Here is a 16,813-nt window from a genome sequence, read left to right as displayed (position 1 = left end):
TGCCCACCCCCAATTGAGCCTTCAGATGAGATCGCAACACCAACCAACAGCAACAGTGATGTGTCCTTGAGGCAGTTAGGCTGTGCCTAGATTTCTGACGCAAAGAAACTGTAAGATAATACATTTGCTGTTTTAAGCAGCTAATTTGTTGAACAGCAATGAATAATTAATACAATTAATATTTAACTTGCTTTAAAAATATGATGTCTTATAAATGAGACTAAATACATAATCATTTGCCTCATAGTTGGCAGCTACATGAATCTGTCACTTGACATGGCTCTAACCTGGAGGAAATGCTATCATAGGTCATTACAAAGGTGTGGCAAACACCTTGGAAAAGGATGAGACATCAAGGAAGAGAAATTATGGTTCCAATTTCTCACTCTCAGAAGAATGTCCATGGCCTTTGTCAGAGCCTGCTACTCACTTTCAGGGCATCCCCTTCATTGCCTTCCATCACTTCCAGAATTAGTGCAGCCAGGATGTTAAAGCCTTGGCAGTACCCAACAGTTTTGTTCCATCGGGCATAGGCCAGCAGCACCCGCTTCAACACAACCCTGTCCTGCTCAGCCTCCTGGCCACAGTAAGAACTACAGCCTGTGCGGTGAAGGTCCTAAATGGAAGGGAAACAATATTTTCAAAAATAACTCCTAATATTCTTTCCAAAACAATACCTTTTTTTTTTGACTCAATAAACAGAGTCAAATCATCGACATAAAATTTTTTTAAAATGTGTATGTTTTTATACATATGAGCCAAAATGCATTTTTAGCTTTCTTTTTCATAATATTTTGTAATATGCTGTTTAAGAGAGATTTGCAAGGGGAATTTCAGTCAGGCAAATTTTCAACTTAAAACGTTTCCAGGATTACCACAAAAAGTAGCTCAGAATTAACAATAATTACAGTATAATTTCATGTAAATTGATTGTTTTAATAATATTTCTCAGGTAAAACAATAGTCATCACAATACATGTATGATTGAGGCTAACATTCTTCCTTTCTACAAATAAAGTATAATATTTAGCTATCAAAACTCTAAATAACATAAAGGAGTGAAATCAAAATAGCAAAAAATGTGATTATAGAGAGAAAAATCATTCTATTCAAATTATTTTATGAATGTATATAAGAAAGACAGAAATATTTGCTATGCTTTAATGAAGGCAATATCTATAATTTAATTACTAAGCAGGAACTACAATTTTCAAGAGCTGAAGTCATTAACTGACACAGCATTCACTTCAATGAGAAAACAAAAGATACTCTTAAAAGATGATTGTTACAAAAGGTGCATTGCCTTAATTCACCAGTTAGACAAAAAGGAAATATTTCAAATATGAGATACTTCATCTCTGCGAAACATATTCTAAAATTCCAAATATATAGCTTAAATGTGAATAATGCAAAGGCTTTTTAGTACACAATGTAAAATTGCATAACTTTTTTAGCATTTGTCTGAAACCAAGTTAGAACAGAAAGTAGCTCATTTTAGTTAGTACTTCCTCCTTAAAAAAAAACCTCCAAATATGCCAAAACATTAGCCATCTTGAGGTGGCCAAAATTTGGATGAAACAACTTTCCTTTTAAAACCCCAGCTGAGTATCACACTGTAATGTACTCATATAAAATCAAAAACCATGTGCTAGAGCCTTATGTAAGAGGATAATACTGGGATCAAACAGAATCAGTATCCTTGGCTTTTAGCACCAGGCTCTGTTCAACTGTAATAATCCAGGTAAGCGAGCCACAACTGCCTACACAGCTGGCTTGAACCCACAAGTATTTGGTTGGAAGTAGGCCCCACCTGTGAACCTGTCTTTAGAAATTGGCAGTTAAGAAACTATCAAAGACCCTAATAAGAACCAAATCATTCTCATATGAAATATACTTAACTAACTTTTTCAATCAGTGACTTTTATATAAAAATCCAGTTGGCATCATTGACCCATGACAAAGCGTCCTTCCTATAGTGTGAGGAAGATTAATAAGTTGAATGTGAATGAAAGCTCATTTGCAAATATTTTCTTCTTACCGGTAACATTTAAATTTATGCAGACAACACATTGTCAAGGTTCCCCATGAAAAAGCTAATGAAATGAGAAGGCAGAAAATATACAGACATTCAAACCAGAAGGTAGAGATCATTTGATCCTCTGTCCAAAAAGCAACTGGCTTTTAGAGTCTTTCTTCTATATTAGGATGACAGGCCAAGTTCAGGGGCATTACCTTGACTATCTGAATTCCCATGGAGTCATCATCAGGATTACTCCTTTCATTGAAAGTGAAGCGCATGGTTTTGTCCCAGTCAATGGCTATACTGTGCAAATAATGATCTGCCAAGGTCAACCAAACCTAAAATATTACATAGACAAAGGAGAATGCCAAAGTAGAATATATAACTTCACCTTTATTAGAAAGTAGTTATTGCATTCGACAAGAAAATGGGAAGTGTCCCTAGACCAGCTATCTATCGCTCATAAGTAGAAATCTACAAGAGTCTCACTGAAATGTTTGTTGCACTGATTTGCACCATTTAGGGCCTTTCATTTACTCTTTCAATAAATATTTGTTGAGTTCCCACTATGTGTCAAGCAGCAATCCAGGCATTAGGGATACTGTTAGAAAGACAAACCAAGAAGATTTTCAAATTGTATTTCTGTTCATTGAATAACCTGTATAATCTCATAAGCTTGTTTTACTTGGCTCTGTATTGCTCTCCATACTTAGGCAAGAGCCATCTGGTCACTCATGGTGAATGGGGCTTTTTTTCACCATGGAGTGGCCTCTGCCTTTAAACCATCCCTCTCACACACATACACAAAACTGACAGATGGGCTCCCATAATGAGTAAGTTTTTTAAAAGAGCCACTGGATATTTTTACCCTTTGATTATCTTATCCAGAAAATCTGTTTCTGAAAGTTATATTTCATAATGTCATTTTCATGACTATTTTGAGGAACCCTCAATTTTCAAATTCTAGAAATATAAAGATTAGGCTTATAAATTAATATCCTAAGTGTGTATTTCAAGTTTTGGTATTTAAACATGATTTAGCAGAAATAAACATTGATTTATATATCCAGCCAGACTTCTCTCCTAACCTCAGAAGCATATATCCAAATGCTCACTTGATACCTTCAAATTAGATATCTAATAGGCATGTCAACCTTAACAGATCCAAAACCAATCACTTATTCCACCACCTACCCTACCTACACGTACAGACACACACACACCTCACCTACTCCTCCCATCTGAGTAAACAGTAATTCTACCTCCCAATCACTCAGGCCAAAATCCTGAAGTCATCTTTGACATCCCTTTTATACCTTATATTCAGTCCAAGAGGAATTCATGTAAGCTCAGCCTTCAAAATACGTCTAGGATTTCCATCTCCACTACCACAACCCTGATGCATCTGTTGCCTGAGCTACTGCAAGTCTCCTACTGGTCTCCCTACTTCAGCCCTTGTCTCTCATATTCTCAAGTCAGTACCCAGAGTAGCCCGTTCATAATAAAAGTCAGATCATGTCACTCCCCTGCTCAAAACTTCCCAGTGCTTCCTAGCTCACACTGAGCAAAAGCCCAAGACCTATGATAGCCCACCAGGTTCTCCACGATCTGCCACCCCTCAACCCACCACATTACCTCTATGACCCCCTCACCTATTGCTTCCCCCTTTGTTCACTGTGCCCCAGCCCCGCCCCACCCCATCTTTGCTTGAATACAACCCAGATGCAAGATGCTCCCGCCTGAGGGCTGAGGGTGCTTGCGCTGGCTGTTCCCTCTGCCTGGAGTATCTCCTCCCAGGTACTTGCATGGCTGGCTTCTCACCTCCTTCAGGGGCCTACTCGAATGTCACCTTGCTATTTAAAATTCCACCTCCTTACCCCTTTTCTCCTAAACGCTCTTTATTTCTCTCTACACTTTATTTTTATCCATGGCACTTATTACCATCTGACATACTTTATATTTTATTCATTGTAAGCTCCATGAGGACAAAAAACTTTGGTCTGTTTTGTTTTTTTCCATTGCTATATCCCTAGAACCTAGAACATTACTTGGCACAGAATAATCAATAAATATTTATTGCATGAATGAATAATCAAGACAGGTTTTCAAGTAACTAAACCTAGAATATATTTTTTGACATTCCAGAGGCTCTAAAGAAGGGCAGTGATGATCCTTCTGTATTCTAGCCCTATGAGTCCTCCTTACCTTTCTCCTCCATTCCTTTGGTATTCCTGTGGATAGCCTGGCAACTGCCTTGAGAGCATCGTACCACTAGGAACAAAGAAGAAATCCCAGGAGGTGATCACAGTGACCTAGATAAGCACTTTGCAATCTTTTTCCCATCTTGACATTCATAGAATGTGCTGAAATTTGCACAGCACAATGGGGTAAACAGTCAAAGCTTCTTTCAGACAGAAGTGATCAGTCCATGGCTATTACTGTGCCACGTCCCACCCCTTGGGCACCCTTAACACATCTGTGACCCCTTTGCAGTACAAACAAAATGGTTGGGAAGCTCTGGTTAATAAGCCAAAATATATATTATGGGGTTCAGAATAAAAGACATTATGGTACAGGTGTGAAATTTATTCATTTTAAAATTTTTCACACATGTACCATTAATAGAAAGTGCAAAATTTGTCACTGCAAATATAAACCCAGGCCACTTGTAGCTCAAAAGCTACTTTAACTGAAATATTGTTGAAGTGACTCATCTTCACATTCATATCAAAGAATACGTTATTTCCACTTTGAGAATATATCTCAATGTGCCCTGTTGGTAACCCCAAAAGAAGAGTGTTTTCAAAATCAAAGTTACCTGCTGAAAACCATTTTGACCTAAAGATGGCTCAAGAGTGAATTTCAACTTGGTATCAACTCCTGAAAGAAAAATACATAAATAGATGTTATTTTTGGAGACTATAACAAGTTATATCAAAAATACTAGTAAAAGCTTGATTCTACTGAATCATCACAATTTTTTTTAAAGTATGTATCTTTACTAAATTTTAGTCAATTTTGCCAAAAGGTAAGCATATTGATTCTTAAAATAGGAAAATACCCTACAGCAATAGAAAGTGCCTTACTACATATGACGGTGGTTTACATAGATGCCTGGAGTACCACAAAAGCAAAAACAAAAACAAAAAATGACACCACAGGCTTGGAGTCATACAGTCCTCCATTCGACTTGGTTCCTAGACTGAAACAATTTATCTAACCTATCTCAGTCTCAATTCCTTTTCTTCTTTTTAAGAGATACAGTCTCAATATATCACCCAGGCTGAAGTATAGTGGCTATTCACAGGCACAATCATAGCACAATGCAGCCTTGGATTCCTGGGCTTAAGCAATCCTCCCACCTCAGCCTCCCAAATAGCTGGGATTATAGGCACGTGCTACCACGCACAGCTAATTTTTGTATTTTTTGTAGAACAGGGTTTCGTCATGTTGGTCAGGCTGATCTGAAACTCCTGATCTGAAGTGATCCACCTGCCTCAGCCTCCTAAAGTGCTAGGATTACAGACATGAGCCACGGCACCCGGCCCCATTTTTTAAAGGAATTATTGCCCAAAAGTTCAAGGACCAAGAAATGCCAAATACTATCAATAACATTAAGTTTTACAAATTTCAAAAGTCAAATGATGGCATTTTTGTTTCTAAGATTGTTGATTGTAGATTAGGTGTACTAAAAACTTCTCCACAACTTCCACTTCTTAGTGGTTGGTATGAATAGGAGCAATCTTCAGAATTTATGAAATAATAGTAAGTAATCAAGTAGACTGGTCTTTTAAAAAATATATATATACACGGAGTCAAGAAGCTGGAAAGAGATGTATCTGATTTTTGCAAGCCCATATCAGTATGCAGGTGTTCTTGGAACCCTGGAAGAGCGCTGTAAATTCCTGAGTTGGGTCCTAGGTTTCCAAAGTAAGCTGTGGCAGAGAATCCCAGGCATCCAATCAATGCCTTGATATTTCTTTTTAAAGCTTCAGGGCCATAACCATACTCTGCCTGGATAGATAAGTTTTTTTTTTCTCCGAAGGAATATTAAGTACCACATGGATCCGCCTCTCTCTGAGGTGGTTTAAACGAAGTCCTGCCCAAACATAGAACGGTGATAACAACGGCCACGGGAGTGTTTCCAGCCCAGCGCACGCTTTAAGGCACGCTGAAAACAAGTGAGGTTGCTGTCCGGACGCGAGGTGCTGAATGGAGGAGCGTATAATCATGACGTTTGCTTGATAACAAAGACCAGGAAATTCGGTCCCGCGCTGACTTATTCTTGCCACACTACAAGGATTCCCTGTATGTCTGACCAATATGCTCTTCTGACTTTTCCGGGGCACCTGCTGGGCATCATGCCGATTGCCTTCTCATAGTGAAACCCAGCAGGGGTTAGTTGGCCAAAACCACAACTATCCTCTCATGATCAAAAATGAGCAAGAGGATTTAACTGAAATTGATTCGCCGCCTGCATGCAAAAGCTTAAACCAGGTCACTTTCACCCCACTTTTCTTTTCTTCTAACAGAATACGGGCAGAGAGAAGGTTTATGTTTCATCTGATAATCACAGCTATTCCGGATTCAGAAATACAAAACACTTACTTTTAACGTGGGAAGGAGATTTAAAAGAAAAAAAAAAGAGGTAAAGGAAGATGGTGAATAAATACTACAGCCTCTGCAACTAGACACTTCCTAGGGGAGAACAACAAAGAAACCACGAGGTTGGGAAAGGCAGTGCCGCATCCCACCCTTTGGGACTCTGCAGCTCGATTCTCCTGCGGCTCTACAGCAGGTCCCCAAGGCGCTGGCGCTGGGGGGCGGGGGCCGGGGACCGTGAACCCGCCTGGAACGCAGCCGGTGCCACTCCAGGGAACAGGTGAGCGCCAAGCACCAGTGAGAGTACAGCCAACTCCCTCTGCAGCCACTCCTTGCCAGAAACCTCCGTGCCCAGGAGCCCGCGCTAGGGCCAGGCTCTTAAAATCCCGGGGAGGGATGCCGGGTGATGGAGCCGACACGGAGTTATGCAGTCTGGAGAAGCAGGGATGGGTAAACACAGGCTGACAGTGGGAAGGGCCTTGCCTAGCACGACCAGGCTCGTTCCTGGACCTCACCTATGAAAAGGATCTCCTGCTGCTCCCCACTCGCACTCACAAATTACAGGCTCCAGTTCGAGCTGACCCCGGCACTCACGCTGAAGGGACTCTTGGGAAAATAACACCCGATTTTGCCTTTGCAGCCACTGTCTTCCTCCTCCGACCTGCAGTGTCAAACCTGTGCCACTCTCCGCCCCCACACACCTCTCGCAAGGTCTGGCTTCCTGCGAGCCTGGAACACAATAGGTGGTGCGGCCTCTGAGGGCCCGGGCAGCCACCCGCACTTCCCCGCCACGCGGAGAAAGCCGAGCACACAGGCCGCAGGGTGGGGGTCCGCGGGGAGAGGGTGGAAGCAGCGGGTTCTCCGCGCCTGGGGTGGCCGCTGCCCCACCCAGGCCCCCGTCTGCCCTCTACCCTTCCAGACCAATCGCTCCCTGCAGGTGCCAACGCGGTGCCCCGCACCAGGTGGCACGCGGACTTTCCCCAGAGCTCCCCGGCCTAGACGGAGTCAGGCTAAGGCAGAAGCGCGGGCAGCCCCGGCGCTACTTTACAGCGCCCCATCTGCAGCCCTGGGGTCCTCACCCGGCTCCAGGGTGCACAGCAGCCGGGGCGCGGTCCGGGAAATGCAGCTGCGCTTCTTGAGCACATTGCTCAGGATGGTGCCCACGCCGCCGCCCTGCCGCTTCAGGCATCTCCCCCCGCGCCTCAGAGACCCGGTCAGCTTGTCCTGCCGCATCCGAGAGCGCCCCGGGCTCTGGCACGGCTACCGTCCGTCTCGGTCCCCGCTACCCCACTCGCTGAGCGGCTGAGCTCGCGGAGCTGGGTGAGTGTCTGCGGCTGACCGGCCCGTGGGAGCAGGGAGCGCACAGCCGGCTGGTGCTGGAGGGTCACGGGGACTTACGGGGCACCGCGGGAGCCGCCGAGCGCAGGGAAGCCAGCAGGCATCTGCAGTGCGGAGCCTGCAAGGCTGAGGCAGGAGATCGCTCGAGGCGGGGAGGGCGGGAGCGAGCGAGCGAGCGAGCGCGTGGGAGACGGAGGCGGCGTGCCCGCCCCCAATCCCGGCACCGCCGTGCGCAGGCGGGGCCGCCCCAGCTCCCCCGTGCCCAGAAGCGCCAGAGACAGGGAGCCAGTGGGCGCGTAACTGCGTTCGGGGACCAAAAGCAGAAACAGAGATGTCCGTGCTTCTCCCAAGATCTGGGAGGGAACAGAGGGAGCACCAAGGGGCGCCAGTCTCAGGGGCAGAACACCCGTAAGGGCAAGCATCCTCTCCCACTTCCGAGCAGTCTCAGAAGGGGCCATGACCCAACCGCAGGCGGCGAGGCACACGCTTCAGCCCGAATTGCGTTGAATTATTTCCTGGCAGATTAGAGAGGCGCGGAGAAAATGAAGGAAAAAAAAATTATTGTTTCTTTTAGAAAAATGGGCTTCCAGAAAAAAAGTGTTCTCTTTTCAAGCAGTATTAAAAAGTAATGTTCCTCATCTCTCCAGCCAGACTTCAGTAGTTCTGAACTATTGCCCATCATTATGGTTTAAAAAAAAAAAAGTCATTCTCAAACGGCAATATTCACCAATAGACTATTTACCATTAAAATGGATGAAAGAAAGGGTGTGGGGGGGGGATATAAAGATACTTGTGTTTGCTAATATTTATAAAAAGAAACACTAAATGGATAAACCAAAAACAAATTAGAAAACTTGTATAGGAGAAGGAACATCGTGGAGGAGACAAGAATGGAAAACTGAGTCCTCTCTTGATGTGCCTCCTGTAGTTTTGGCTCTGGAATAACACTATATTAATAATATTAACAAATTAAATTTTTAAAAAACCAGGATGATGGAACAGCATGCCTATAGTCCCAGCTACTTGGCAGGCTGAGGTGGGAAAATTGCTTAGCCCCAAGAGTTTGAGGCCAGCTTGGGCAACATAGCGAGACCCCATCTCTTAAAAAGACATAAAAATAAAAATAAAATTTGAAAATACATAAAATAGTCTGGGCACGGTGGCTCACACCTGTATTCCTAGCACTTTGGGAAGTCAAGGCAGGAGGATGTCTTGAAACTAGGAGTTCAAAGCTGCAGTGAGCTATGATTGCACCCCTGCATTCTAGCCTGAGCAACAGACCTAGTCCCTGACTATAAATGAATAAATTATTTTTAAATTGTAAAAGAAAACCCTAACAATTGAAAATTAATGGAAACAAATCAACCTAATGGACTATCCCACTTATAGCATAAGAACACAGAAAAAAATAATTCTCTCTTAAGTTGACATAGAACACAATATTATGACTGTACATCAACAGTTGTACATATTCCCAGAGCAAATAAAACTGCAAAGAAACCTTACATTTCATTCAGTAGTATTATTGTTATTAATAATATTCATATTTCTTAAATTCTTATATCCACTACAGGATAAAGCAAATAAATAAGTATGCTAACATCAAATGGAGCCAAGATGTTTTCAGTGTAATAGAAAATATGTGTATAACCAAAGTAATTAAGTTTTCTTTAAAATATTACAATTATATATTTATATGGGAAACACTAGTATGAACTCATTTTTTTTTCTTTTCAAAAAAATACATACATTCATTGAATAGGTTTAGAAGTAAGGACAACTCAGCAGCAATGAACACCCACAGCACCCAGGTTATGGTCTCTAAAAACCATTCCCCACTCAAAGGAACTAAGGCTCCTTTGAGGAGTGACTGATTCCAGGTTTGGGACAGAAAAAGTACAAGATGACCCTGAAACATTTTGATGAGCTCAAAAAGAAAGGAAATGTTTCACAATTAATGGGGTCAAGTCAAAAAGACACAAGAGTCACATAAATAGGCTCCTTCCTATTGGCCAAAGATGAAACAATTTGAACTTGAAAAACAATGGCTGAGCCTGGACAACATGGCAAACCCCCATCTCTACAAAAAAAAAAAAAAAGCTACAAAAATTAGCTGGGCATGATGGCACACACCTGTAGGCCCAGCTACTCAGGAGGCTGAGGTGGGAGGATCACCTGAGGCCAGGGAGGTCAAGGCTGCAATGAGCCATTATCGCACCACTGTACTCCAGCCTGGGTGATGGTGAGACCCTGCCTCAGAAGTAAAAACAAAAACAAAAAGCAATTAATTGCTGGGTCAGGTGCTGTGGCTCAGGTCTGTAATCCCAGTGCTTTGGGAGGCCAAGGTGGGACAATCACTTGAGGCCAGTAGTTCAAGACTAGTCTGGGCAAAATAGCAAGACCCTGTTTCTGCAAAAATAAAATAACTTAGCCAGGTGTGGTAGTGTATGCCTGTAGTCCTAGCTACTTGAGAGGCTGAGGCAGGAGGATCACTTGAACCCAGGAATTCAAGGTTACAGTGAGCTATGATTGGCCACTGCACTCCAGCCTGGGTGAGAGAGCAAGACCCTGTATCAAAAGAAAAAAAAATGGCTGCTATTGATTGAAAAAATATTGAATATTTTTAAATGCCTTCATAAAGATAGCCTAAACAAGCCAGAAAAAGAAGGCATTCCTATGACGCTTCCCAGAATTTGAGGACAATGTCAGAAATGGTGCAACCCTAAGAATGAGCTGTAAAAGAATCTATTAAAAATGAGATGAGCCATCTGCAAAAGTAAAGCAGGCTAATAAAGGACATGCAAGCTATTCAGTTGTAGCTGCCTGGCAGAGGTAAAGATGCTTTCAAAAGGGCAGTACTCTTTGAAAAGGCATCACTTTAGAAAATGAAGTCACTGTTTAAGCTGGTCATGACTAATTGCTTGGCTTAAATTTCCCAACCTTTTGCTGCGAGCTCCGGTACAGAAATTTATCCTCCATCAACCATCAACTTTTTACAGTTTTGGTACATGTTTGTATCCTTCAGCTTTGTATTAATTTTAATAAGACACTCATTGGCTGTTGCAGCCTATCTCAGTTGTACTGAGAGCCATAGGAAGAGGTCTGATGCTTCCCTTTGACCAGTTTTTTAGAGGGCACAGTATACCCTGGGGCTGAAGATGGTGATGAACACCCGAAGTCAAAGAGAGGGAACTGGCAGGAGAGGGAAAATCCAGCAGGACAAGTTGGTAACTGCATGCACAGTCTCGTCTTCCAGACCTCTCATATGCTCAAATCTTAGAGGGTTTTGTGTTCTATTTTAACAAGAGAGGCTATTCATGCTCGGTTTCCATCACTAGGCAAGCCAAGAGGACAAGCAATCAGCTCTGTTCTACAACACTGTCTCTGGAGTGGAGAGGAGGACGTCCTGCCCCTGGGGCTGTGACATATGCCACTCAGACCATCCAACTCCCTTTGGCTCTGACGTCATGCTCACCAAGCAAACTTTGGATTGTCATTTGATTTCCCATATAGACTCTGCTGCAGCACAGAGAATATACTGACCAGTTAATAGCAGTCAATACCCCTGAGTTCACTTACCAGTCAGTAACCTGAAGACACCAAATTTCCAGACTGCCAAAGCTGACATCTAGACTCTAGGCTGTCAACTCACCCATGTGTCATGACTGATAAAAAGACCTCTCTTTAGATTCTTCTTTACTTGTAATACTTTTCTTTACTAGTAGTGACAGAAGCTTGTTTGCTTGCAAAAGGAACATTCAATTTCACCTCTTTTAGATCTATTACGAGGAAAATCTAACTCTGTTTTTAAAATAAAATTTAAGAGTTTCTGCTATGATGGCAATAAACAGCAAAGGAATTAGATAATATTATTTTGTTTACATTGGAGAGGAAAGTCAGGACTGCCAACTTTTATAGCAAACAGATAATTACATGAGCACTAAAACACAATACTCTAAAAGCAGCGATGGCCCAAGCCTAGTATTATGTTGATTGTGTGACTCACAGTTTTTTATTTCATGTCTGGAATATTGTTTTACAAACGTGAAAGATGTCATCTAAAGTCAACTTACAGAGAACTCAAGCCAGCATGGACTTTGCCTGAGAATCTCAGGAGCCAGGCCAATTTACCATTATTCTTTACTAATCAAGCTTTACCAATCAAATAATAGTGAATTCACATTTGGGCAAATTATACACTGCCACAGTCTACAATGGTTATGACTTATGCTGAATTTAGGGGAAGGAAGGCTTAATGAACACTTCACATTGGATGAGATAATGTTATTTGGATTGCTAAAGAAAATGAAGGCTTTGAGGAAATGCCCCGAATGTCACAGAGCTAATAACCTGAGGACATCCCCCACAGATGTGAGCTCCCAGGCTGAAACAAAAAAAAGTATGGACCATTCGGCATACCCTGCATCTTCAGGCCTACATGCTGGGAATGAGGTTTCCTTGAGAGCGAACTTTTCCTTTAATGGGAGAAGGGGGAAGAAGTCAGTAAGAAAAGAAAGCCCAACACAAGGAATAAAAACTATGTCCCAAGGGGCTTCCAGAAGGGGAAGTGGGTCTGAGACCTGTGATTTCCTAATGCTGCTATTTTTTTTGTTTAACAGTAAAGTCTTAAAATAAAAAGGGCCTACGTGCTTATCTTCAGGGACTGACAATTACCAAGAGAAAAGGCCCTGGAAGCCTGCTATGAGGAGAGAGAGACCACAGGGAGCCAGCCTGCTCTGGGGAAGTGGGCCTGGAACTCATCTGTACAGCTGCGGAGTTCCCTGGCAGGTGCTGATATGCACACAAGCTGAGCATCAGAGATCTCATCAGACCACCAGATCTAGTGCTGTCTCCCATTCGGCAGGAGATGGGGACATTTTGCACCTGTGATAATAAAAAGAATGGAGGTCTGGTGGCATAAAAGCCACTCTTCCTCCTCTCTCCTCATCCCACAATTTTTGAACATGTGTAAACAGCTCCTGAATAGTGAAGTGGCGTCTGCTAACCAGACAAGATCTGTGGCCTTTTCTACAAGAAGTTAACACTTTCCTCAGACCTACTAAAGTAGGGACTTAACAAGTAGTTCCTTCAAGGCCGAGTGCAGTGGCTCATGCCTATAATCTCAGCACTTCGGGAGACTGACCAGCCTGGCCAACATGGTGAAACCCCATCTCTACTAAAAATACAAAAATTAGCTGGGTGTGGTGGCGCACACCTGTAATCCCAGCTACTTGGGAGGCTGAGGCAGGAGAATCGCTTGAACCTGGGAGGCGGAGCTTGCAGTGAGCCGAGATCATGCCACTGCACTGGCAGCCTGGGTGACAGAGCGAGACTCCATTTCAAAAAAAAAAAAAAAAAAAAAAAAAAAGTAGTTCCTTCAATTCATTATCCAAGACAGAGTCCACAGACTATGAGCATTGTAACAGTTTCCCCCTCATGACAGAGATGAAGGGGCAGGGCAGCAGGAGGAAATTGAGGGGGAAGAAAAAAACTACAATTATTTGACAGATCACATTACCTACATGGGACATTTTCTATTTATATGATTTTCTTTTCTTAGTCATAAAAATAACTTCTCTATTTAAATACAGGCATCCTTTAAGACAATCAGGTGTAGCTTTTGTATTTTGTTAATTTTTGAGAAAGGACTCTATCAAGCATGGAACAGAGAGGCTTTAAAATTCCAACACCAAATCACACTCAGAATGTCATACAGAAATGTACTTAAAACTCTGCTGCCAGATCCATGTAACCTTAGATGCATAACTAACCAAAGATTTTAGATCTCATCGTATTCTTCTTGTCGTGGTATTTCCTGTTAAGTATTTTCTTGCTTCAAAATGACCGAAACTGACTCACTACTACTTGAGCTAGATTGATATTGACCATATAAAGACACCTTTATATTTCTTTTATTCATTCACTTATTCATGAAAAAAATCATTAATCAGATGCTGTGGGAAAGGCACGGTACTAAGAACTATGAGAGAGAAAATTATGAACACAGTACATACGCTACCCTCAAAGAGTTTACAGTTGGCCAGGTGCAGTGGCTCACGCCTGTAATCCCAGCACTTTGGGAGGCTGAGGCGGGCAGATCACGAGGTCAGGAGATCAAGACCATCCTGGCCAACATGGTGAAACCCCGTCTCTACTAAAAACACAAATACTAGCTGGGCGTGGTGGCACGTGCGTGTAATCCCAGCTACTTGTGAGGCTGAGGCAGGAGAATCACTTGAACCAGGGAGGCAGAGGTTGAGTGAGCCAGGATTGCGCCACTGCATTCCAGCATTCCAGCCTGGCAACAGCACGAGACTGTCTAAAAAAAAAAAAATAGTTTACAGTTTACTGAGTGAGTAGTGACAAGGACACAAGGATTGTGTGAAAGGTCCTTTAAAATACTATGTGAATAATTGGAGAGATACCATTCTTGCTACATCTTAAGTATTATATATGTTGCAATGTTTTCCCAGAGCTCCATTTCATTGAGCTACTAAATTTCACCTGAAAACAGGCCAAGGACAAAGCTCATGTATGCTCTTCTTACAGTTGTGCTATTCAGCTCTTTAGTTCCACATCAGGAATAGAACTGGAAGACTCACACTCATCACTGCAGAAGATGAAATAACTGTTTAACCTGGTCATGATGAACCATTTAGCTGAGATTCCCCAACCTTACACCAAGCCATTCTAAGATTTTTTTTTTTTTTTTTTGGTAGAGTCTCACTCTGTTGCCCAGGCTGGAGTACAGTGGAGGGATGTCGGCTCACTGCAACCTCCACTTCCTGGGTTCAAGTGATTTCTGTGCCTCACCCTCTTGAGTAGCTGGGATTACAGGTGCATGCCACCATGCCCGGCTAATTTTTGTATTTTTAGTAGACATGGGGTTTCACCATGTTAGCCAGGCTGGTCTCGAACTCTTGACCTCAAATGACGCGCCTGCCTTGGCCTCCCAAAGTGCTGGGATTACAGGCATGAGCCATGTGCCAGGCCCAAAGATTCTTTTGACCCTGTTGAGGAGAGGTATGAAAGGAGAGGTTTCTCATATCTATTGAGGTAGATTTAACTTAGAAATGTGTCCCTAGACAGGAGAAGGGTGATGAGTTCGAATGTAATATGCTTGATTTTGGTGATGACAAGAGGGAAGTACCGGAAAAGGAGAGAGATTGGAATCAACAATAATGTTGGTTTGGCAGGTCTGGAAGCCTTCGCTCTCCAGGTTGAGTTCATTCAGAAGAAACAATGTAGAACGTGTGCTCCAATGAGGAGACGTGTGAAGAGACACAGGTCAGGTCATCACCCCTGGTGAGACCCTCCAGGAGGCAACGCAGCAGACAAAGGTTAGAATTCTGATGCCAGTACTTGCTTCCTCTATGTCCTTGAGCAAGTTACTTAATGTCTGGGTTTCAGTTTCCTCATCTTTAGAATAATGATATTTGAGTTACGGTGAGAATTAAATGACATAATGAAAGTCATGGCATAAAGCAGGCGCTCAATACTGTCCTTTGATTAGTGCTTGTTGTTGCTGCACTAGAGGCTAAAATGGCGCTGTGAGCAGTCATCCCAGAGGTCTATCCAGCACAGGACCCAGACTCTGACCCACAGGGTGAGTCTGACTGGCCAGGATACCCCACTGAGGTCTTCGCCGCATACTCCTCTAGTGCCCTCACTCACTTGGTAGAAACTGTGAAATTAGTTTTGTGTTTGCTCCAAAGGACTAAGTTAGAACTGCTAAGTGGGAGCTGTGGTGAGGCAGATGTCAGCAAAATTTCAGAATGCTCTGTTGGGCATGGTGGCTCACACCTGTAGTCCCAGCTACTTGGTGGACTGAGGCAGGAGGATCACTTGAGAGCCTAGGATTTCAAGGCTGCATTGTGCCCTGATCACACTACTGTACTCCAGCCTGGGTGACAGAGCAACACCCTGATAGAAGGAAGAAAAGCAAGAAAGAAGAAAGGCAGGAAGGGAGGGAGGAAGGGAGGGAGGGAGGGAAAGAAAAGAGAGAAGAGAAAGAAAGAGAAAAGAAAAGAAAGGAACAAAAGAATGCTGTGACTATAATATAACATCCAGCCTCAGGAGATCATAAATGTCCTCTGCTTTGGAGTTCTCAGGCAAAGGCTGCAAGCCCAGCAGTCGGGGATGCTGTGAAAGGACATTTAAAATGAGGTGAGGCCAGACTAGCAATACCAGTAGAGCAGCTTCCAACCCTAGAATTCTCTGAGACCAATTTAACTGATATTCAGACAGTCTTATTACTCTATTAGAATTCCTCAATCCAATATAAATGTTGGCCAACAGCAATGCTTGGACAATACAGTTTGAGTTGCTGTGTTTTCAGATAAACTGAAATTTAAACAAAGAAATCCTTTTGGTGTCAGTCCTCGTTAAGAATATTTCTACAAGGTATTACACTCTCTTGACTTAAAAAGAGTATTCTGGGCCTGGATGCCGGGGCTCATGCATGTAGTAATCCCAGCACTTTGGGAGGCCAAGGCAGGCAGATCACCTGAGGTCAGGAATTCGAGACCAGCCTGGCCAACATGGTGAAACCCCATCTCTACTAAAAATACAAAAATTAGCCAGGTGTGGTGGTGCATGCCTATAATCCCTGCTACTTGGAAGGCTGAGGCACAGGAATCGCTTGAACCCAGGAGACGGAGGTTGCAGTGAGCCAAGATTGCACCACTGCGCTCCAGCCTGGGCAACAGAGCGAGACTCCATCTCAAAAAAAAAAAAAAAGTATTCTGAACAAATCAAATTTTCATATATTTATTAAGAACCTTAGCCTGAGCAACATGACAAAACGCTGTCTCTACAAACACTACCAAAAAAATTTGGCCAGGCATGGTGGTA

At 43.0% G+C, this 16,813-nt stretch overlaps 1 protein-coding gene across 14 annotated transcripts in view, besides 3 other annotated features; it reads right to left on the bottom strand.

The window, feature by feature from the left end:
* The window catches only part of TBC1D30 (TBC1 domain family member 30), a 121,550-nt gene that overhangs the window by 48,299 nt on the left and 56,438 nt on the right, over window positions 1–16,813 (bottom strand). For 8 of the 14 annotated variants that reach the window (XM_047428595.1, XM_047428596.1, XM_024448903.2 and 5 more), the window contains 4 exons: window positions 4,839–4,900; window positions 4,226–4,291; window positions 2,233–2,358; window positions 431–616 (listed from right to left, as the gene is read on the bottom strand). In XM_047428595.1, coding sequence (XP_047284551.1) covers window positions 431–616; window positions 2,233–2,358; window positions 4,226–4,291; window positions 4,839–4,900 — 440 coding nt within the window. Of the gene's footprint in view, window positions 1–430; window positions 617–2,232; window positions 2,359–4,225; window positions 4,292–4,838; window positions 4,901–7,701; window positions 8,089–16,813 lie in introns of those variants that run through there. The other 6 variants (XM_011538078.3, NM_015279.2, NM_001330186.2 and 3 more) reach the window with 2 other exon arrangements.
* Window positions 5,156–5,205: an enhancer, noted in NCBI's record as "active region_6601". NCBI's record gives its function as "activates an Ori minimal core promoter by ATAC-STARR-seq in GM12878 lymphoblastoid cells {active_cell/tissue: GM12878}" and the evidence as "EXISTENCE:reporter gene assay evidence [ECO:0000049][PMID:35858748]".
* Window positions 6,883–7,390: an enhancer, noted in NCBI's record as "H3K27ac-H3K4me1 hESC enhancer chr12:65219125-65219632 (GRCh37/hg19 assembly coordinates)". NCBI's record gives its function as "activates a minimal SCP1, AML or CMV promoter by ChIP-STARR-seq in naive H9 embryonic stem cells {active_cell/tissue: H9 hESC(naive)}" and the evidence as "EXISTENCE:reporter gene assay evidence [ECO:0000049][PMID:30033119]".
* Window positions 8,029–8,268: a silencer, noted in NCBI's record as "silent region_4628". NCBI's record gives its function as "represses an Ori minimal core promoter by ATAC-STARR-seq in GM12878 lymphoblastoid cells {active_cell/tissue: GM12878}" and the evidence as "EXISTENCE:reporter gene assay evidence [ECO:0000049][PMID:35858748]".

This window comes from Homo sapiens, chromosome 12 (assembly GCF_000001405.40).
Source record: "Homo sapiens chromosome 12, GRCh38.p14 Primary Assembly".
Taxonomy (NCBI): Eukaryota; Metazoa; Chordata; class Mammalia; order Primates; family Hominidae; genus Homo; species Homo sapiens.
The sequence above is the reverse complement of the archived record's forward strand: the minus strand, read 5'-3'. Positions and strand labels throughout refer to the sequence as shown.